We start from the raw sequence: 22,335 nt of genomic DNA on the forward strand, positions 1-22,335 counted from the left end.
CACCTTCGTCATTTTTTCTCCCAAAGAGACTGGCATCCTACTTGTCACCTGTAGGCACCAAGCTATGACTGCCCTCCTTCCCTTAAGGCAGCAACTTCCCACCTCCCAAGCATTTTGTTTATTGAGGACTTGGGGATCAGGCTCATAACCACATAGCCACATAGGTAACCTGTGCATAACCTGGGCTTGCAAATGCCAGACGCTTCTATTTTTTCCCTATAATTATTGCAGTAAACCTTAACCATAATTCTCTATATTAGAGAATAGTCACCAAATGTCCTTTTCGAGTTCATATTTCTCCAGTTGTGTTATAAACATGTGTTTCGGTTTGTTCTGTTTATCATTTGTTTGCACCAGGATCCAAAGAAGCCCCAGGCATCGTAGATCGCTTTGCTCTTGAAGGATCTCTGATTCTGTAGGTTATCCCTCCATATCTATTTCCCCTCCCTCCCTCTTCCTGTCGTCGTCGTCGTCGTCTCCTCCTCCTCCTCCCCCTTCTCCCTTTTGTGACTTTGGGTGGAGGGGTCTGGCTTGCTTGTTCTGCAGTTTCCGTACTCTGGATTTTGCTGGCTGCTTTCCTGTGGAGTCACTGAACGTGCTTCTCTGTCCCACACCATTCCTGCCACGTGGTAGGTAATGCAGAGGTCTGGGGAGACTCAGGTGTGAACGCTGTGTGTGTGAAACTACCGCCTCGGTACAGCTCTTCCATCAGGAGCACATTGTGTCTGCTGGTTTCTTGTGTGATACCGTCAGGCATTTGGGGTTGCAAAACAGTCAACCAAATTCTGTCCTTTTTTCTCAAGTAATTAGTGGGGATACATCTATAAAGAGAAATTCCCCATCAACGATTTGATTACCCTGAAGTGTATATCATATAGGATTTATTAACTTAAGGATGGGGGTTCCCTGTCACTCTGCACAGGTGACCACTGAGATTTCCTCTGTGTGTTATGATGAACTGATGAATTGAAATATGTTTGATGTATACACTTAACATTTTTAGGAACCCCCTCTGCTACACTTGGATAGCCAACTCCCAGGTCGCATCTGGAATTTGGGGATTGTCAATGACCTGTTTAACTCCAGGTTAAACTCCAGGCGTGCAGGGGCTAAGCCCTCTCCCCTTCTCTTCCTTATGATCTTTCTTAACATTTTCTTTTCTCTAGCTTGCTTTATTGTAAGAATGCAATATATCATAAATATGACATACAAAATGTGTGTTAATCGACTTCTTATGTTATAGGTAAGGCTTTCAGTCAACAGTAGGCTATTAGTAGTTAAGTTTTCGGGGAGTTGAAAGTTATACACAAATTTTCCACCACACGGAGATCACAGCCCCAACCCCCAAATTGTTCAAAGGTCAGCTGCACATAGTGGACACTCAGAGTGTTGACTGGAGACTGTTGATCCTTTCTCTGCTGCCTCCCAGCATCCTATGAGCATGGCTGCCAGGTGAACAGTGCCCATGAGGCTCTGTGGTAGACTTGGTGCCTGCCACGGTGCCTGGCGCATGTAGCATATGGGGCATGGCCCTGTAAATATTTGCTGAGTGTAGGGATGAATATTATTATTTTAGAAAACTCAAGCCTGACCAGAGGATGAAAAAGGCTTTTGCTTGCAAGGCCTAGTACCTTGCAAGTGGAAGCAGGGATTGAAAATATCCACGTGATGCTGGCAGCCTGCATGAGAAGACAAAGGAAAAGACTACATAAGGCTGGTGCCCACAAACTGCCTGTCCTTCCCATGTGTGTTTAGACTGCCATAAACACCCAAACCAACCAAAGTAGAAGCCTACTCTGGTAAGCATTTATTCTGGGACCAGCAGTGTGATAGGCTTTTACTGTGCGTGTGACCAGTCAGGGCTTCCCAGTGCTGCAGCCCTGGAGGGACAGACCTTTGGCCTCTAAATATCCATCTGCTGTGTAGGAAGGACCAGTCCTGCCAAGCACAGAGGAAATGTGGAGTGCTTCTGGCCGGCCCTAAAGACATGTAAGTGTGTGAGCAGGTGTGAGTCTGTGTGTGTATGCATGAGATGTGAGTATGCCAGAGTGTGTGGGACTGTGTGTGGTATTTGTGCACAAGTATGTGTGAGAATGTGTAGTTGTGTGCACAAGTGTGTGGGTGTCAGAGAGTGTGTGTGAGTCTGGTGTGTGCATGCATGTGACTCCATGTGGTGTGTGCATGCATGCGTGGGTGTGCCATGGGTGGAGTGTGTATGCAGGTGTATGAATATGTCCATGTGTGTGAGGGTGAGTCTGTGGTGCGTTTGTGCATGAATGTGCACGTGTGTGTATAAGAGTGCATCTGTGTACATGTCTATGTGTGTGTTTGTGCATGTGTGTGTGTATGCGTGAGGGTCTATGGTACATGTATTCATGAGTGTGTGTGCGTGTGTGTGTGAGAGAGTCTGATGCATTTGTGCATGAGTGTGTTTGCGTGTGTGTGCATGTATGTGTGTAGGTGAGGGTGTGTGATGCATGTGTGTGTGAGAATGTGTAGGTGCATGTATGTGTGTGGGTGTGTGCATGTGTGGGTGTGTGTGTGTGTGAGGTTGAGTCTCTGGTGCATATGTGCATGAGTGTGTGTGTCTGTGTGTGAGGGTGAGGCTGTGTGGTGCATGTGTGCATGAGTGTGTCACCTGGAGTCACCACCACTCACTGCCTGTGGCTTTAGGCAAGTTGTTCAGCCTCTGTGTACCTCGATTTTCTCATTTATAAAATGAGGATAATATTGGTATCTCTTTCAAAGGGTTGTTCTGAGGATTTACTGAAATAGTGCAGGACAGGCAATTAGAGTAATACCTGGCCCACAGTACATGCTCAGTAAGCATCATCTATTGGAGGGTCCACTGCTTCCTGGGGATTGGAATTAGGTAGGAAGGGAGCTGCTGTTTGCCGAGTGCTCACTGTTTACATGCATCATCTCATTCATCTCTCAAAAGCACCCTAGAAAGGTCATAAGAATGCAGCGCTCAGGGCGGTGGGGTGATTTACTCAGAGTCACACAGCCAAGGCGTGCCGCTGCTGGGGTGTTGAACTCAGGCCATGGTTTTGTTTGTCTTTGGAGGTGCTATTTTCCCCTCCCATGGTATTTTTCCAGTAAGATAGGGATTTACTCATCAGTTCTTAAAAGGCTTGAAGGGCTTGGGTGGTGGGGATCAAACCAACCGTCTTCTGTTCAGAAGGGCCACAGAGGATGATTGTTTTCAATTGATACATAGTTGACGATTTTTGGTTTCATGCTGGATTTTCAAACAGATTATGAAAAATTAACCTAAGAGCCCCTGTGTGTCAGGGATCATTGATTCTGTTGATTCCTTGGGATTTCCTCTACAAACTGATAAGCTATCCCTTCTTCGATTGTGTCCTGTCCAGGTAGTACTCGTATGACCCAGAAGCCAGCTCTCCTCTCTGACTCACTGTCTTGTCAGGAGGATGGAGATGATGACAGCTGCCCTGGGGAGGCGAGAGGCAGCGTGGCTTCAGCATGGGGGCGGCTCTGTTTCTGCCATCACCATCCCCGCTTCACCTGCTGCGGGCGCCAAGAGCCCGCCTCAGCCACATGTGGGCTTTTAGCCTCTGATCCCCAGTTTCCCTCTGACTCTTGTCTGAGCGCATTGGCTCCTTCAGCATCTCCAGCTGTGCTGGGAGGGGTGGGGCCTGCCTCGGGGGCCTTCTGGCATTCAGCAGATTGGACTTCCCATGTTGACGTTGCTGACTGCAGGGGGTGTGGGTCAGGGGTCTTCCAGGTTGTGGTGTTACCTTGGAGCGAGGCTGGGGTGAGGGGCTCTGGGTTTCCACAGACTTAATTCTGGCTGGCCTCCATCAAGGCCATGTTCAATGAATCAGGCTGTTGTGCAGAGCAGCCTGTGTGCTTTGGACAGGGCTCCCCGCCCGCCCCCCCTTTTTTTTGACTTAAAGAATCTATGGCAAAGCAATTACTGACTGTGACAGTGACCCAAGGTGGTATTTAAAACAAGATGTGGAGGGCAATATGCCTCTCTCTGGGTTCGCCACGGGATCAAGTTGCAGGGGCTGTCACTGGCAACACGCTTCTGCCTGAACGGTTCTGTGGGATGAGCCCCAGGGAGGCGCTGGCAGCCTCACACCCTCCCCTCCCAGTCCCGCCCCTTGTGTTGGCTGCCTTTGTTTCTCCAAGACGGTTTTCTGATCAATTAAAATCGTGTAGGGTCTTAAATGGTAATTCTGCCTTTTCAAATAAACAAAGGCGGAGAACAAATGGGAGGGTAAGTTTTAATAAACCTTAGGCATCATTTCCTCCTGCTGTGACACTAAATTTACTTGGATAAAAACAACCTCTTAGATTTACATTTTGATTCTGTTACTGCTTTCATGTGTGCGGGGCTGTCCCACTTCAGATGAAATTTATCCACTTCTTTAAATATTTAGTAGTCTAGCGTGGATGTTAATGAAAGTCTGGCGGTGCTATTTTGAGAATTGCAACAATGATAGTAATTTTCAGTGTCAGATTCCTGCTTCGCAAAGGGAAAGAGGGATGGGAGAAGGGGGAGGGAAAAATGGTTTCAGTTCTAATAGAGTTTGCCATCCGCTGGGCCGTGCCAGACAGATGGGTCATGAATACTGTCTAGACGCTCTCTGCCTGAGCGAAGCCCTGGTCTCTAAGGACACGCAATGAGACGCCGGCTTAAGTAACTGGGGAAAGTCAGGGCAAGCTCTCCTGTAACCAGATAGAAATCAACGTGATCCTGCTTCCTGGGGGAGGCCAAGGGGTGGCCGGGAGGGTGTAGGGAGAGGGGGTGCTAAGAGAAAAGGCCCGCTGTTACTGATCAATTTTAGTGCAAACTTGACAATTATTAGGCATTAGGGAGAGCGTGAAAGGACAGTTGTAGGATGATAACACTATTGATTTAAGCCGTACTGCCCAGAATGCAGAATGATATATTTCAGACCCAGGCTTCAAAGGCCGGAGAGGAGCTGGGGTGAAAAGGAGGATGTTGTCGTGTGTGCTTAAGACGGGAATGCAGCCCGCGGGGTGACCTGCGTTAATTGTGTATATTAACACACTCAGCACTGCTCTTGTGGAAACCGTTGGTCTTGACTGTTCATTTAGCCTCTTAATTTGCAAGGGTTTTAGAGGCTTACCAGGCTTGCTTTCTCTTTTTATGAATTTCTGCGAATTTCTTCATGCTGGGTCTCTTCCGGGCAGCTCCACAACTGGCAGAGCTGTAGGAAAGCGGGTAAAAAAATCCCCAGCGCCTGCCTGGCTGCGCTTGGGTGCCTGCGTAGTCGTGATGCTTGTCTTCCTAATTATTTTCTGAGTGGCGGGGATGGAGTTTATGTGATGTCAGAAGTGAGTTTCTGCTCATGAAGACTCCCAGTGTAAGTGTGGTGGGAGTCGGGAAGGAGATATTGAGGTAAAGATGAGATTGGGGGGCGGAGGCTGGGGGACCACCGATAAGGCGGGAGGTGACGCAGCAGCTTGCCGTTCGGCTGGGAGGTGCTTTGTCGCTTGGTTTGATGGCCGCTAATCACGTCTTGGTCTTGAAAAAAATTATCCAAAAGGGTACTACGGTGAAACTTGGAAGGGACCATCTTTGAGTAACTGAAGAAATAAAGCTGAAGTCTAAAGCTGCCATGAGATACGTCGTGGACTGCAGAGGTGGGTGACCCTCCGAGGGCTGGACTTCTGGATTCATCCTCTGGGCTGGTGCCTCTTTCAGTCATGGCAGCTTTAACATGGGAAAGAAACCCCAACAACCTAAACTTTGCAGTAATCATTTTTTCACTCCTTCATCCATTCTTGTTCTGTCCCAAGAGCTAATAACAGAGGGAAAAGAAGATATTTTTTGCTTCCTTCCCAGAAAGAAAACAGAGATCAAAGATAAAAAATATTTTCAAAGTAGACAATCACTGGAGAGGGAAGAAAGAAATCTTGTTTCAGGAGTTTGCAGTAGTGAGCAGCGAGTGAGTCTGTCCTTTTTCCAGACAGCTCCTAGAAAAATTGCCGTGGTCCTCCGGAAGGTCCAGCTGTCCTTAGAGGGGCACCTTCTTGCCCTAGACCCTTTGCTTGCTGTTCACACCAGGACCATCCACTCAGGGCAGAAACTTTTCATTCCCTGGGATGGCCTGTAGGGAAGGGGCACATGGCAGGGGGCTGGGCTGTGGGCATCAGCACTTCTCCTGCCAGCCATGAGGCCTGGAAGGGGAGCCTTGTGCTAAGTGACACTTAAAATCTTGGGACCATAAAGTGCATCTCCCCATTTCAGAGACTGGTGGCTCAGTGGGGTGACCCCCAGGCTCATACGTGTGCTTGGGAGAGGAGAATCTCAGATTGCCCTGCCTCCTTGAGAAAGGCCCCTGTCTTCCTGCGGGCGTGCACCTGTTCCGGAGAGGGCCCCTGAGCCAGGCTGTCTGCTGTGGATGGCTCTGCCATGGCGCTATCTCCTTCATCCTTATCTATCTCTTCATTGTTAGTGGAGGGTGTTGGGCATCTGTTATTTGCTTTATTCTAAAAATTCAGAGAAAAAGGAACTTGAGCTACACTTCAGGCCTTTTACCCTTAGATCTTGGGGGAAGGTCAGCTATGGTTCCAGGTAGGGTGTACCGCCGCAGGCCCTTGCATGCCAGCTGTTCTCCCTGTCTGGGTTTGGGCAGGTGGTGGGTTCAGGCCCAACCGCTCTCTCTGTCATGGGGCCGGGGTGGTGGCTGAGCCAATCAAGCAAAATGATGGACCTTCCATCACGGGATGTAAGCCCGTGTCTTGACTTCACGTGACTTTTTGTGGAAGGACAGCCAAAGGAACACATTACCGAGAGAGTTCGCTCTTCCATTTGCATAGGCTTTGGAGATAGAAGTGTTGAGTATTGTTTCTTCCTTGGTGAGAGGGGTTGGCATGAACCCAGAATTTTAAATGCCAATCTGACCTTAAAAGGCTGGCAGAGACCCTGCCCTTCCAGGCCTACCCGTGCCTCCCACTGAAGCCCCATGAGGCCTCTAGATCAGCGGCTGCTGCCTCCTCTCACCCTTCTGGTTCAGTGTCTGCTCTCATGTTAGGAGACGTTAACTGGAAATGACAGGACCTGGGGCCAGTGCAGTTAGCTTCTCTCCCCCCACCCCCCCCCCCAAAAAAACACACAAGATCCCAAGACTGATTAGTTTTCATAAGTTGTTGAAGGAGAAATAGTTGTTGAAAGATTATGTCTGGACAGGGGGCTGGAGGGTGTTATAGAGAAAACATGTTTGGGGTAGTCACTTGTGGAAAATTATATGCTGAGTAATACAAAACATCCCATCTCTGGGATACTTCATGGAAGGTATTTTTCTGAGTATTGAATGCGTGAGAGGCATGGGCTGGGCTCTATGGGCAGGTGCAGGGCTGCAGGGGCTAGGTGACATGGGAGGGTGCAGTGTGTGTGAGACGGAGGCTTTGCCTCCCAGCTTTGTTCTGTCCAGTGCTAAGTGGTGTCCTTGAGAAGGCCCACAAAGTTGTGGCACGTATCTGCAGTGCCAGTATGCAGGACAGAAGGAACATCTTACTAAGCCTGGGTGCTCAGGGAGGCCACCATCATGGGCTGGCAGGGTCTGGAGAACCCCTGCTCTTCAGGGGGAGTGTCGTGGGGAGACGCCTGGGCAGGGATGCCACATAGGCTTGTCATGGAAGCTTGCGGGGAGGGGAGGGCTGACTTTGAGGAGCACCACTAGAAAGGTAGGTGGGGTCAGATTCTAGAAAGCCAGGGATGTCAGGCCAGATCGCTTTCATTCTCTTTCATGAAGGAAGTCATTGAAGGTTTTTGAGCAAGAGAGGCTACGACACAAAGCTGTTGTATAGCCGGAAGGTCCTTAGAGATGGCTTAGTTTAGTTCTGCACTCAGGAAAGGAAACTGAAGCCTGAGATTACGTGACCACTTCAAGGTCACAAAAATAGTCTTTGGCAGAAGTCCTAATATGTATGTTTCTAGTCTGTCTGGGCTACTATTACCAAATACCATAGACTGTGATATGGTTTGGCTATTTGTCCCCTCCAAATCTCATGTTGAGATGTAAGCCCCAGTGCTGGAGGTGGGGCCAGGCGGGAGGTGTTTGGGTCATGGGGACGGATTCCTTGTGGCTTGGTGCTGTCCTTGAGGTAGTGAGTGAGTTCTCACAAGGTCTGGTTGTTCAGGTGTACGGCACCTCCCCCCTCACTCCTTGCTTCTGCTTCCCAGTGTGAGATACCAGTCCCCTTTTACCTTGCATGATGAGTGGAAGCTCCCTGAGGCTCCCTGGAAGCAGATGTCAACACTATGCCTCCTTATGTAGCCTGCAGAACCCAGAGCCAATTAAGCCTCTTTTCTTTATAAATTACCCAATCTCAGATATTCCTTTATAGCAATGCAAGAGATGGCCTAATACAGATGGGATGGCTTATAAACAATCAAAATGTGCATCTTACATGTCTGGAGGCTGGGAAGTCCAGGATCAAGGTGCTGCCGGACTCAGTGTCTGGCGAGGGCTTGCATCCAGGCTCACAGACCGTGCCTTCTGGCTATGTGCTTACATGGCAGAAGGGGAAGGAAGCACTCTGAGGTCTCTTTCCCATGGGCATGAATCCCAATCCTGAGGGCTCTGCCTTCATGACTGAATGCCTCCCAAAGGTCTCACCTCCTAAGCTTGTCACTCAGGGGTTAGGATTTCAACATATGACTTTGGGGGTGGGGAGAGAGTACAAAAACTTTCAGAGCCTAGCAGTGCTTCCCATTTCTTAGGACAGTTCTCCTTCCACTAGACCCTGTCCTCACACCAACTTGTCAGGTTAGGCAGTGTCAGGGTGGCAGGAGGAAATCACCCGGAAGGACCCTCCCTTGCAGAGTAGGCAGCCTATGGTGAACGTGGCGTGTGCCCCTGAGAGTAGGGACTGGGCCTAGCTAGGAAGGCTGTCAGAGGGGCAGGTCCCCAGTAGCTGTGCCTTTGGGATTATGTAAAAAAGGGTTTGGAGGAATCCACATGAAAGCCACAGCAGGAGATGAATAGGGAGGGAAGTCAGAGTGTGCCCGGCACAGCAGGGTCCCAGTGTGGTGTCCCCAGTTTTGGGGTTCACGGTGGCAGCGGCGGCTCCTGGCCACCCTCCTTGCAGCGCTTGGAGGATGCAGCGGGTGCAGACTGGGTGCCGTGGAGGGGGGCGAGGAGGAGTCTGGGGCTATCTCCTGGCAGAGGGATAGCTCAGCAAAGGTGGTGGGTGCACTAGAGAGAGAGGAGGACCCCTGTGAGCAAGTCTCTGCGAGGGTAGGATCGAGCCTAGAGAGTGGAGATGTGGACGGAAGAACTCCAGTGCACAGGAGGAGACTCTTCTGAAGCTGGAAAGGAGGAAGGCGGGAGTCCTTGCTCCTGGGCAGAGCTGCTGCTATGAGTCAGCCTGGGGCTGGGGAGTTGGAAAAATACCGACATAGGAGGGATCTGCAGTCCTGACAGTCAGCATCTTGGTCATGCTCTGCAGTGTTCAAAAGAGCTTTCTGCGTGTATGAACTTCTCTCCACAATTCCACCAGGTCGCGTGTTTACTAATTGCTAAGTGCTTTACTTGAGTCATCTCATTTAATTGTTAGAACAACCATATGTGATAAGAACTCATCGGACCCCTCCTTAGGATTAAGGAGGTCAGTGGCAATGAGTCCAGCCTCAGCCTGAGGGGTGACCCCCAGCGAGAACCTCCAGGAAGGCCAGAGGCAACGTCCTGGGGCAAGTGAGGGGGACCACGGGGGATGCTACATGGAATGCTGCTTTCCAAGTGCAAATGACCAGGGAGAGAAAGGGCACAGAGATGGGCTTGTGCTCTGCTCAGCATGGGGAGCACCGCAGGGGTGCACATGAGCGAGCGTGAGGTCACGGGATTTGCATCATGTGCAAATGAAATGCAGGAATCACAGGGACAGTCATCGTTTTAAAAGAAGCAGGACCCCGGTATCTTGCCCTTTGAAAACAGATGATGGTGGACTTTGTTTTGCATTGCTCCTGGTGTGCCTGTGGTTGCGTGCACGTGCTCGCGTTTTGGAAATGAGGAGGCCCGTGAACTGGTGTCCTGCTGTGTGTGAACTTGGGGTGTGAGGTTCGAAAGGAGCAGGACCCTTCATGATGTTTTTCTTGGAGGCCCAGCCCTGAAACTTGTTTGTGTCATACATGACAATGGATTTGTGCACTTTTTGTATCACAGGAATGAGTTAAAATCAAGAGTCAGCAGCTCCGCTACTCCGTAGTGACCTTGGTTTATTAACACCTCAAGCCTGGTTTTTCGCAGCTGCCGGCAAGGAAGGCAGGTTTGATCCCTGGAGTCACTTGTGACGCAAAAAAAAAGCATTCTGAAATGGTGACTTGACCTCTGTTATTAACTTTAATGAGATAAATATTAGATGGAACATTTAGCCAAGAGAGGTGTTTCTTTGTAAATAGTGTTATTATTTTCAGGTGTCTGAGAGAGACGTTGATCAGGGCATGCGATGTCTTTGAGCCCCCGCTGAGATGAGAGCCCCAGCTCTGAGCAGTGCCCACCCATCCTCTGCAGGGCGCCCGGTGCTCCACCTGCCCTTCCCTCTGTTGCCCCTCATTACCTCCCAGCCCCGTCCCCAGTACTGCTGTGTAATCTGTTCAGTGGGGACAATAATGACGCAATGTGTGATCCAGAGTCTAGCACCTCGTGGCGCCTTGATGGAAATAGAAAGCTGTGATCACAGCATTAAAATATGCTAACAGGCTGCGGGAGCTAATGGGCGCCGTGTTCACACTGCAGATGTTCATTCCGGCGCTGCCGCCGACTGCGGGGACAGAGCCGGAGGCTGCGCCGTGCACACCCAGCTTCTCATGGTGGTTTTGTTTATTGCCGGGGTGTTCTCCAAAAGGGGCATCCTGCCTCCTTTATAAGGTGTGCTGTCTTTCTGGCTCTGCGATGATATAAGACCCCTTTTTGTCTGACTGTTAGATGCGCAAGCAGACTCAGTGTTCACGTGGAGGGAATGTTAGCAATGATAACAGGGTGCAGTCGTTTGATGAAAATAAATTGGATTTTATCCTGTTTGTGGTTAATGTTTATCTAGTTGGAGTTTCTGAGCACTAGAAAGGGGTTCCAAATGCATTGTCTAAATTTGTGAAAGAATTCCAGTATACCACATTTAAAGGGATGATTTAAGTGCATTATATTAAGTTGTGAATAATATGGAATTTTGAGTGTCTGGCTTGCAGTGCTGTCTTCCATTTGCTTCCTGGGTCGGCCTGGGAAATGACTCCATTCTCTTCATCATCTTTGCCCTTATTACTAGCCAGGCACCTCACTCCTTATTTTCGTGCTCTTACTTTGGGGAAATCCATCGGATGAAACATACACTCAGTGAGTAGACAAGGCAGCCAGAGGCTATCTGCTTACAGGTGGGTGGCTTTGTCCACGCTGAAGGATGCCTGTCTCTGCAGAGAGGGTAGCAGCAGGACATGCCTGGCCCGGGATGGCCATCCACCTGAGCCACAGGTCTGGGCACAGGCACAGATGAGCTGGGAAAGGGGCTGGCCTGGTCCAGAAGGTGCTGGAGGGCAGAGAGGCACTGTGTTGCTGTGACAGTCCCTGATGAATGGGGATGTGTGGGATGTCATGTTGCCTTTGGAGATCAGACCACTCCAAGCCCTCAGCAGCAGCCTTGGTCCTGATGTGTTCATTCATCAGGCATCCCACTTGGCTGCGCACAGTGCTGGATCACCTGCGGCGGGAGCAGGGCATGCGCCCTGGTGGGTGCTCAGTCCGCGTTTGTTGAGTGGATGATCACAACCCTGCAAACATGTCACTGAGCTAGGCAGTCCAAAGGGTGTCCCTCCAAGGGAGGCGAAGCTGGTGGATGCTGGACACCTGTATGTGCAGGAGCTGGGGGCTGGGGAGGGGGCATAGGTGCTGCCTGGGAGAGGCACCAGGTGTCCTGGCACCAGGACCAGGGATGTTCCTCAGGCTGGGCTGGCAGACAGGTCATTTTACCCAGTGGGCACTTAGGCAGGAGGCCTGGGGTTTCCAGGCTTTTTGGGGGCTTATGCAAATATTGCAGACCTGAAAAAAATTCTGCTTCCAAGATAGGCAGCGAAAACTGCCAAATTAAAATGCACACATTTAATTAAATGTTGACAAAACGTGATGGCTTGTCAAATAGTCACCTGCAATTCATTGTCTCAAGTGGGATGTGGTGCTTTTTCCTGGGTTTGATGTGACATCTATGAGGCCCGTAAAGGTCATGAGATGCCCTTGGGTAGCCATGGTGAGAAGAGGCTGGAGGCTGCAGGGGCACCTGCTCCTGCTGAGCAGGTAGAGGAGACACTAGGAGCAGCTCAGCATCCCCCCACAGCCTGGACGGCTCTGAGGGTGGGTCGTCATTCCCTCTGATGAGCTGGGCCGGATCACTTGAGATACAGGCAGAAGGTGGAGAGGGGGCCAAGTCATGTCCTCCCCGTGGCTGGGGCAGAGCTGTGCATCTGGCTTCCTCCTTCCACACAGCCCCAGGGAAGATATCCGGGGGCTTGGCAACCTCCCCTTCAGCTGCATTCAGCCCCACACCGGGTGCCATTTCTGGTGATCTAACATACAATTGAGCAACTCTTGGTGGTGCTAAGATAAATGGATGATAAATTGCAGTTGTATATTTTTAAGATTATGAAGAAAGCAAACATTTAAAATACAAGCCTGTTTATTAGTCTGTTTTACTCAGAGCCCCAGCTTCCGAAGTCTGGTTGCCCTGAATTCCATGTAGAAGTCCTGCCGGGACTTCTGGCAGGAGCGCCCGCCATGTCCCGCGCTGTCTGCATTGTTAGGAAACGTGTCCTTGCTTGGCTCCCAGCATATGGAGGAGAAGTGAATGTGTCACTGCTGTGGCAGGAACACATCTTCCAAGAACTAAGGGACATCTTGTCACGGACTCCTAGGCAGGAAACAGGGCAGAGTTCCAGGTGTCAGGTGCTGTGGTTTGAGGTGTGAATAAATAATTACCAAAATGACTGGCTGTGGTGGGGAACGAGGAGCATGTACACGTTTTGCCTGAAAGTGGGAGCCTGAGTGTTAGCATGGTCCCCCCGCCGTCTGCCTGCCTTCCTGAGCGTGCCACATCTACACGGGGGTGCCCCTTCCTGACCGGGGTGCCCTCTCTCGCCTTCCCTCCTGCTCCCTGTGCACCTTGCCAGGGTTTCCCTGGGCAGCTCTGGTGAAGGGCGTGCGTCACGCTATCCAGGCCCTCTCCACGCCTCAGTGGCCAGTTGCCTTTCCTTTCTTTCTCTTTCTATGATGCTCCTGTATTGCCCCTGGATTCCTCTAACCCACATCATGTTGGATTTTAATTATGTGTTTAATGACTTCTCTCTTACTAGATTATGAGTAAATCCCTCCAAGGGAGGGTCTGTGTTTTGTTTATTTTTGGTCCCTGAATGTCCAGTGCAGGGTCCATGTGCATGCACATATACACACAAATCCATCAGATACACATGTATTCATAATAAGTTTGCTTTTTAAAAGGGTATTTTATATAAATAGAAATGGGAAACTATTATATTTGCAGACATGAACCAATGTATGCTATCAGTGCGGGTTTGAGCCCCAGCTTCAGGCTCAGTAAATCATAGGTCAGCAGAACAATGCCACCCATTTTTCTTGGGATATGTGGTTTTTTCTAGATTCTGTGGCTTACAGTGCTATCCAAAATTCCTTCCACTCCTCCTTCACCTCCTTTCTCAGCTCCCAGGATTTCTGTCTGCCTGGGGAAAACCCTCACCCTGTGTTTTTCCTCTGGTGTGAGAGCAGAGAACAGTCATCCACATAGAAGAACACTTCTGTGGCCTAGTGTGTGGGGCTTCCCCACAGCCCAGCAGTGGACACCTGCTGTAGTGTCAGCTCCACAGGCCGGGGGGTCAGTCCCCAAGGCTGCCCCTCAGACTCCAGTTGCAAGTCCAGGCCTCAGGAATTTCTGACCGACTGGCTTCAGGTTGGGGTTCTCACAACCCCCTTGCTATGTTTGATTAATTTGCTGGGGGGTGCTCACAGAACTCAGGGAAACACATGTTTACATTTACCAGTTTGCTCCAAGGATATTGCAAAGGACACAGATGAAGGGCTGCGTGGGGCAGGGCATGGGGAAGATGTGGAGTCCTGTGCCCTCCCTGGGCACCCCCCTCCAAGAGCCTCTGCATGTTCCGCCATCCAGAAGCTCCCTGAACCCTGTCCTCTTGGATTTTTATGGGCGCTTCTTGATGTCAGCTTTCTTCCCCGCTGGTGGGGATGGGGCCTTCTCTGAGGAGGATCGTATGAGCAACAGGAAAGGCTGGAGGAGAGAGATGTTTTGCCTGGCAGCTGAAAGGCGGACAGAAAGGACAGGAGAAGGTTGGGGAAGTTCTGTTTCCTGAGGCCTGACGCACCCGACCTTCTAACAGAAGACTGTAACAGGGCTGTGGGGTACACAAGCCAGGTGCCGTGGAGGAAAGCCTGTAGATAGATCCACATCACGGCACCACCACTTCTCCCCGTGGTTCACAGGCCCTCCCCAAGCATCCCAGGGCCCTCTGCTGTGAAGGCGGCTCCCCCTGCCTCGCTACCTGGGCCCCCGCTCCCCTGTGCAGTGTGCTTATTTCAGTGCTGGTCTGACTTGCTCTTTGTGGTGGTAAGCTCCATGAAGGCAGGACCATGCTCAGGGAGTTTCCTGTCCTTCACTGCCCCAGGGATGTGGCAAATACTTAATCAGTGTTTGCCTATGGAGTGAACAGGTCCATGAATGGTCTTGGAAAATGATGTATCCCAGCACCATGGTGGTGGTCATTCATACGTGTTCTCATGACTTCTTTGCTTTTCCTAATGGTGAGTTCGGTAGGCCAATTCATTTCTTGCTGAAAAGTGTGGTAAAGGCAAGTCTCCTAACTGGACCAAGACTACAGCCTGCAGAACGCGCAGGGCCTGGGCATGGGGAAGCACGGATGAGGAGCCTGCTGCTGATGCTGAGCAGGAGCCGTGGAGGGGTCTACACCACTCTGCTGACTCTGCGTGATGAGGATTCAAAATGCCATTCACGCAAAACAAATTTAGCAACTAAGAAGTAGAGCGGCGCGCTGCTTTAGAAGCACTATGTGTTAGCAGGTGTGGTACACACCTGACTTTGCTTCTGTGGCTGAGGAAGGGGAATGAGTCTTCTGTGCGTAAATCTTTCCACAAGCACCATCCTGGGTGTCCTGCCTGACCAGACTTGTGAGCCAGGGCCAGGTTGAAGCATGTGCCCAGGTGAAAATTATGCATTATTTATTCATGTGAGCAACTCTGCGCCTATTTTGAAACATTCACTGCTTTGTTTTGTTTGTTTTGTCTAATTGCATGAAAGATGTGGTAGGCAGAATAATGCCCCCCAACAAAAGGTGTCCACTTCTTAATCCCTGGAACCTGTGAATATGTTACCTTACTAGCAAAAGGGACTTTACAGATATGACTAAGGCTAAGGACCTTGAGTTGCAGAAATTATCCTGGACCATCCAGGCAGGCCTGGAGACATGAGTCCTCTAAAAACAGAGACTCTTTCCCAGCTGTGCTCAGAACCAGAGGTGACCACCAAAGAGAGATCAGAGCCATGCCATGTGAAAAGGACTTGACTTGCCATTGCTGGCTTTCCAGATGATGAAGGGGCCTCAAGCCAAGGAATGTGGGCAGCTTCTAGAAGATGGAAAAGGCAAACAAATATTCTCCCCTAGAGCTCTGGGAAGGAACACAGCTCTGCCACCTCCTTGATTTTCACCCAGTGAAATTAGTTTTGGATTCCCAACCTGTAGAACTGTAAAGTAACAAATTTGTGTTTTAAGGCCAGGTGTGGTGGCTCACGCCTGTAATCTCAGCACTTTGGTTTTGGAAGGCCGAGGTGGGAGAATCATTTGAGGCCAGGAGTTCGAAACCAGCTTGGGCAACATAGTGAGACTCCATCTCTACACCAAAAAAAAAAAAAAAAAAAAAAAAAAAAAAAAGCCAGGCATGGTAGGTTATGCTTGTGGTGCCAGCTACTCCGGAGGCTGAGGCAGGAGGATCACTTGAGCCTAGGAGCTTGAGGTTACAGTGAGCTATGATTGTGCCACTGCACTCCAGCCTGGTAACAGACTGAGACTTAGTCTGAAAAAGAAAGAAAAATTAAAAAATAACATTTGGTGTTTTTTTTTTCTTTTTGTTTTTGTTTTCCTGAGATGGAGTCTTACTCTGTCGCCCAGGCTGGAGTGCAGTGTGTGATCTCAGCTCACTGCAACCTCCACCTCCTGGATTCAAGCCATTCTCTTGCCTCAGTCTCCCAAGTAGCTGGAATTATAGGTGCCCGCAACCACGCCCGGCTCATTTTTGTATTTTTTGTAGAGATGGGGTTTCACCATGTTGGCCAGGCTGGTCTCAAACTCCTGGCCTCAGGTAATCTGCCCACCTCAGCCTCCCAAAGTGCTGGGATTACAGCTGTGAGCCACCGCACCCGGTCAAATTCGGTGTTTTAAGCCACTGAGTTTGTATAGCTTGTTATAGCAGCAATAGGGAAGAGATACATATGGCTTTGTCTATAGAAAGATATTGCTTAAATAAAAAGAAGAAAACCCTTCCAGGTCTACATTTTCTCAGGCAGTGCTTGCGCTTTAAGGAGCACGTGCAGGATATTTACATCAGCAGCAAGTATATGAATCGTAGCCTAGTCTCATCGTTAGAGGTGCATAAACTCAAGGTAAGCATACCCTAAGTTTCCGCTCAAGGTCATACCCTGGCTCCAGCCCTGTCACATGGTTAATGTTCCACAGCCAGTGACTGAGCTGGAGCCAGGGCCACTGCCCCCACGTCGTCACGCCATGGTCATTGTCATTTCACTGCAGTTTCTCCAGCTTCCTTTTGAAGAGGAACACAAAGGAGAGGTGCTTTGCAAGGATACAGTATATTATAAGAATAGGGACATGTTTGAAACTAGTAGTTAATGAACATTATTTTCCTAAATTCATAGCTTTTATTTTGTTTTTTTTAAGAGACAGGGCCTCACTCTCTTGCCTAGGCTTGAGTGCAGTGGCGCTATCACAATTCACTGCATCTTTGAACTTCTGGGCTCAAGGGATCCTTCTGTCTCAGCCTCCTGAGTAGCTGGAACTACAGGCACACGCCACCATGCCTGGCTAATTTTTGTGTTTTTTGTAGAGATGGGGTCTCACCGTTTTGCCCAGGCTGAGCTGGAACTCCGGGCACAAGCAGTCCTCCTGCCTCAGCCTCCCAAAGTGCTGGGATTACAGGCATGAGCCATGCACCCGTCCTTAACTGATAGTTTTAGAGCAGTCCATTAGAGTGGACCCATGTCATCTGACGAAGCCATGTGTCTGTTTTGTATTTTCTAAGAGATTTGGTGCTGAGTAAAGAAAAAGAAAATTCTTCATATCTGATGAGAAGGTAGTGCTGTTGAGAGAGACCAAAAAAGGACAATTAGTGATGAGGGTATTTAAGGCAGACAGTTCATACCTCCTGAGTTTTTGGAACATGTGTCTCTCTTTGGTAAAATATTTTGGGGATAATCCCTATTATATGTGTATTTAATTATTTTAATATTATATACATATACTATTATAAACTTCCTAAGATAAACACAAAATTATAGATTTTGCTGAAGAGCAAAATAAAAATAAAATTGTTCTCCCCTTTTCTTCCAACACCAAATGAATCAGCCCACTGGGGTGTAGTAGGCAGCTCTGCCTGGAACTGCCTGCCATGCCGCCCTCTGTGTGCCTGGAACAGCCTGCCATGCTGCCGTCTGCATGGCCGGGGCCCTTCTGCAGCCCCCACTGCACCAACCTTTGTCCGCCTTTATTGTTGGTGAACACAGTGCCCACCTCACCATGCTGGGGTGGCCTGGCTTGCTGTCTCTTGAGTACCGTGGGAACTGAGGCGGGCTGGCCTTGTCTCCCCAGCGCCTGCTCACAGAAGGTGCCCCATGATGTCTGTCGTGCAGATGAATGTGTCCACGCGTGCTGGGCTAGTACAGAAGATCGGTAGGCAGGGGTCTTCGTGGCCAGGGCCTGAGGAGGACCGATAGCCTTGGGGACTGCATGGGTTTTGAGAGTCTGGGGGAACCAGGGGGAAGTAGGAGGACATAGTAAACAAAGGTCAAGAAGAGCGAGGAAGACGTGGGGATGGGGACACGTACCTGACTGAGGAAAATGGATTCTAGGAACACAAACGTCATTGAAGAAGGAGAGTGTGTGTTACTGGTTGAGGGTGTCCTGGTCCTTGGCATCTTGAACAAATAATCAGACAAAACACACAAACAAAGCAAGGAAAGAATAAAGCAACAAAAGCAGAGATTTATTGAAAACGAAAGTACACTCCACAGGGTGGTAGCATGCCCTAGCAAGCGGCTCCTGAGCCCGGTTACAGAATTTTCTCCGCTTTAAAGACTCTCTAGCGGTTTCCCATTGGTTACTTGGTGTACACCCTATGTAAATTAACTAGTGGCCTTTGATCAGTCTGATTGGTTGCAGGAAGGGGCCAATCAGAGGCTGAAGCAAAGTTACAAAGTTACACCCTATGCAAATGTCTGATTGGTTGCAGAAAGTGACCAATCAGAGGCTAAAGTGAAGTTACAAAGTTATACTCCTATGCAAGACTTGGCCCCTGACCAGCCTGATTGGTTGTGGGAGGGGTCCAGTCAGAGGTACTTTCAATTTTTCATCTGCCACACAGAAAAAGTGGGAGGGGGCAGGGTTGCAAGGGAGTAGCCTCTGGTCCTTGTGTTACTTGGGCATGGAAAGTTGGGGTTTTCCTTTTGATTTAGTTCTAGGAAGTCGGTGTGAATCGGCCTTAGGTTCCCTTCCTCCAGATCCTATTCTCCTGCCTCATGGGGTCACTGCTTGCCTGGGTGGATGAGCTGGAGCTTCATTCTGTGAAAGCAGTGGGCTGGCTTCAGATCCCGTGACAGCTGCAAGCACAGCAGAACCAAGGCAGGCACTTGTGGACTTCTTCACTGGCCTCAAAAAAGCAGGTGGTGTTGTCAACTGTGGTTACACTGGACAGAAAGAACACTGTTACCAGGGGCCAGGTGTGCAACAGTTCTGACTAGGGCCGTGGGAGTAAGGCCGGGAAGCAAGGGGTCCATGCAGTTACTCTGAGCTGAGACGAGCAGGCTGACCGCTAGACTGGGGGCCACAGGGGGACGGGCCAGGGATGCATCCAGGTGTCAAGCCAGGGTGCATGGTAATGTGACTCTCCAGACCACACAGCCAGGTAGGGGGCTGGTTTTCAGGATGAGATACCAACTTTGGTCTAAGAGAGGTGACTTCTACATAGGGCTGTGAGACAGGCACTGTTCAATAAGCAGTTGGAACTAATTTTTTTGGATTTTAATGATTCCAAAAAAGAAATCTGGGAGCTACAGAATTAGCATTTATCTTCTTCCCTTAACTGATACAAATTCTTCTATGCCAAGCCTTGAAGAGCGCCCAAGAAAGGCGTATATCAATGCGGAAGGTGGGAGTCCAGGAGGCCAGTGTGGGCTCAGTCATGGTGGCTGTCACGGGCGGAGCAGGGACAGCAAGGATGTCTCCCAGAAATGCAGAGAGCCTGAGCAGAGCCCCGCCTGGGAGCTTTTCTACAACAATGTAGCCAGAGAGGTTCAGCCTTTCCAGTGGGGGGCAGCTCGTGGCCTAGACTCGGTGAGGATAGTATACTCTCACGCGGAGATGTTCCTGGAAGCCTCACACACCTGTGGCCATGCTGTGGTGGCCTTTGCAGGGCTCTCTAGGGCAAGCTGAAGGCAGATCCCGACTGCCAGGGGCAGCAGCCAGGGATGGCTTACAGGGCAAGCAGAGCATTTTCCTACCTGTGGTCCCGCTGGGGGGCCCGAGACCAAGAATCTCCACGAAACAATTGGTGACCCCTGAAGATGCCACACCGGGTTTCTAGAATCACACGTGATGTGTGTGTGCACCTAGGGAATGGGAGCTCTTCCTGGGTGTGGCCATGTCCCCCCTGGACTCCTAAAGGTTGGCCTTATGGGATGGGTGACAACCAGCTGCCAGGCTCCCTCCCTGTCCCCCAGTTCTCCTTTTCTCTATTCCCTTCCTGTACCTCTTTTGGAGGCCATGCTGCCTGCCCACCCGCCTCCCTGGAGGTGTGCAGCCCCCTGAGCCTGGGGTTCAGAAGAGCAAACCCACCGGCATCCCAGGGCACCTGCCTGACGAAGGGAACAGGATGCCTTCTCTGCATTCCCTTCGTTGCCCTAAGTTAACACTATAGCTCCATTCTGTTATTTTTGTGCTCAAACAGGCTTAAAAACAGTTGTTAACACATATTCTCATCTCCCAAATTGTCATTTTTTTGAGATGGCAAGGAATACATCACGCCTTTGGATGGCTTTAATTTACATCATCTAGTGTTCACCTCATTCACACGATTCTGATACTTATTTCTAATTCTGAGTAACTAACGGCAGGTGACAGGGCAGTCACCCAACAGCGTATAGCACCTTGGGGCTTCACAGAAAGAGCCCTGCATGAGGACCTGTGTGTCACCCACACTTCAGGCCAGCTTGACAGCCACCCCCGCCTTTAGGGAGCTGCAGCAGCTAAGAAACATGTACTGCAGAATAAGAGAAAAGGACCCAAGATTGCTTTTTAAAAATGTGTTTCTTAACTTGTTCTTTGGCATAATTTCTGCATTAATGGATAGTACTTCTCAGCCTTTCATGAAATTTCTGCCTCTTATATGTGGAGAAAACAGAGGCTGTTTTAAATTATAAAGGAAAGCTTTAATCTAGTCCAAGAAACTGGGGGAAATAGACTTCTTTTCTCGCTTTCAGCCCCATTTCCCTACCTAATGTTAAATATGGCTATTTCTCCCAATTTAGAGGGTTTTCTTTGTAGAATATGAATGAGCTATTTACTGGGTAACAAAAAGACAAGCCTTTCAAGTACAAATGGAGCTTTGGAGATCTCTCAATTTGAAAGACTAATCTCTGCATAAACACAACTGTTTCTCCATATTGCTGGGAACACTCCATCTATCTGTTTGGCCACATTTTCTATTATGGTTTTTATAAAATGAAACGATGGCTAATAGCTCAGCAGAGAAGTATTTGGGCACAGTAGCAATAGGGATGTGTTTACATTGCTTTAAACTGTGTTGTGAGCAAAGAATAGTAATTTTCTATAGAAATTGCTCTAATCTGATCAGTAGAATTAGGCATTGCATATTTTCATTTCTGTACCTTTATCGGAGCTTATGTCAACTAATAATCTCATTTAGATACTTGGGTTTTTCATATTAAATATCTGGTTATACCTGCTATATCTTTCAGCCTCAAAACTCTTAGATCAGGTCTTCCTTTTTCTTTACACAAGTGGATAGCAGATGTGACAATACCACTGTCTGCCACAGGGAATAATTTGAGGGGCCACCGTGTGTCTAGAACCTTCCACAGGGAAGTGCACCTGAATGTGGAAAGATGGTGCCATTGCTCTTAGAAATGCCCTTTAGGGCTGACAGAGCCTGACTTTTTTTTTTTTTTTTTTCACATCGCTGTAGATGGGGCTTTTGAAACCCTCCTTCCCTTCAGCCCCCACCCCCACCCCCACCCCAAGGTTTTAGGACAAAATGGGATGAGTGAATTCATGGCTTGACAGACTGAACAGAAAAATGAGGCTCCGTGCTCCATATTCATGTGCATCTGCCCCTCATGGTGACATGCTAATTGGTTGGCCGGTGCACAAGACAAGGAAGTGCAGGTTTCCTGTTGCTCACACAGTGCTTCCTGTCTGCTGTGGCAGGAGCCGGGAGGAAGGGAGCGAGCCAAGAGGGGTGCTGCCCACCGGAAACGATGGCGCGAGGCCGCAGAGCTAAATGGGGGCCTCTCCAGGGAGTGCTCTGTTCACGGCTCCATCGCTGTTAGTAAGTATCTTGTGATTTCGGAATTTAAATGAGGTTGTGTTTAACCTGCATAACATCTGGCTTTTAAAATCTGACTTTATTTTCCTTTTATTTCTGTGCATCGGCTCAGGCACACTTAGTGGTTGCTTAGGTGTTGAAGTCAGGTTACCAAACAGCACGCCCTCTCTTTATTCTCAGGCTGCGTGTTTCATTGATTCTGAAGGTCAGATGGCTGTGTTCAAGTTCTGTTAGTATATTGGTGTCAGAAATGAAAAGATGATGTAACCCTTTATAACTTCTTAAAGGCTCATATCATGTCAGGAAATTAACCTGTAGGAGTTATGGACAAATGCCCATCCTGATGATTTTCAGCCATGAAAATGAGTAAAGGGGAGATGGGCATACGAAAGGCTGCATGTGTTGAGCATTTGATTTTGGAGGAGGATGCATTTGTTGTTTGATGGAGTCTACGACCTTG

General features: G+C 49.3%; 1 protein-coding gene and 1 non-coding gene across 47 annotated transcripts in view, besides 5 other annotated features; both read left to right on the plus strand.

Annotated features, from left to right (window-relative positions):
- LDLRAD4 (low density lipoprotein receptor class A domain containing 4) overlaps positions 1 to 22,335 on the plus strand; it is a 435,073-nt gene that overhangs the window by 225,552 nt on the left and 187,186 nt on the right. For 5 of the 46 annotated variants that reach the window (NR_172142.1, XM_047437776.1, XM_047437774.1 and 2 more), the window contains one exon: positions 21,758 to 21,878. The exons of 40 other annotated variants lie outside the window; for them this stretch is intronic. Coding sequence is in view for 4 of the 6 variants with exons in the window: in XM_047437776.1 (XP_047293732.1) it covers positions 21,758 to 21,878 (121 nt within the window). In the remaining 2 variants the exon portion in view is untranslated. Of the gene's footprint in view, positions 1 to 21,725; positions 21,879 to 22,335 lie in introns of those variants that run through there. One more of the 46 variants, XM_047437792.1, reaches the window with a different exon arrangement.
- Positions 3,091 to 3,794: an enhancer, noted in NCBI's record as "H3K27ac-H3K4me1 hESC enhancer chr18:13446323-13447026 (GRCh37/hg19 assembly coordinates)". NCBI's record gives its function as "activates a minimal SCP1, AML or CMV promoter by ChIP-STARR-seq in naive H9 embryonic stem cells {active_cell/tissue: H9 hESC(naive)}" and the evidence as "EXISTENCE:reporter gene assay evidence [ECO:0000049][PMID:30033119]".
- Positions 3,795 to 4,498: an enhancer, noted in NCBI's record as "H3K27ac-H3K4me1 hESC enhancer chr18:13447027-13447730 (GRCh37/hg19 assembly coordinates)". NCBI's record gives its function as "activates a minimal SCP1, AML or CMV promoter by ChIP-STARR-seq in naive H9 embryonic stem cells {active_cell/tissue: H9 hESC(naive)}" and the evidence as "EXISTENCE:reporter gene assay evidence [ECO:0000049][PMID:30033119]".
- Positions 11,719 to 12,362: an enhancer, noted in NCBI's record as "H3K4me1 hESC enhancer chr18:13454951-13455594 (GRCh37/hg19 assembly coordinates)". NCBI's record gives its function as "activates a minimal SCP1, AML or CMV promoter by ChIP-STARR-seq in naive H9 embryonic stem cells {active_cell/tissue: H9 hESC(naive)}" and the evidence as "EXISTENCE:reporter gene assay evidence [ECO:0000049][PMID:30033119]".
- Positions 12,363 to 13,008: an enhancer, noted in NCBI's record as "H3K4me1 hESC enhancer chr18:13455595-13456240 (GRCh37/hg19 assembly coordinates)". NCBI's record gives its function as "activates a minimal SCP1, AML or CMV promoter by ChIP-STARR-seq in naive H9 embryonic stem cells {active_cell/tissue: H9 hESC(naive)}" and the evidence as "EXISTENCE:reporter gene assay evidence [ECO:0000049][PMID:30033119]".
- Positions 16,714 to 16,793, plus strand: MIR5190 (microRNA 5190). Its single transcript, NR_049822.1, has one exon. It is a non-coding gene; the product is annotated as a microRNA 5190 (primary transcript).
- Positions 18,377 to 18,671: an enhancer, noted in NCBI's record as "tiled region #5399; K562 Activating DNase matched - State 10:DNaseD". NCBI's record gives its function as "activates a minimal TATA promoter and a strong SV40 promoter by Sharpr-MPRA in K562 cells {active_cell/tissue: K562}" and the evidence as "EXISTENCE:reporter gene assay evidence [ECO:0000049][PMID:27701403]".

This window comes from Homo sapiens, chromosome 18 (genome assembly GCF_000001405.40).
Source record: "Homo sapiens chromosome 18, GRCh38.p14 Primary Assembly".
In the NCBI taxonomy this organism is placed as follows: Eukaryota; Metazoa; Chordata; class Mammalia; order Primates; family Hominidae; genus Homo; species Homo sapiens.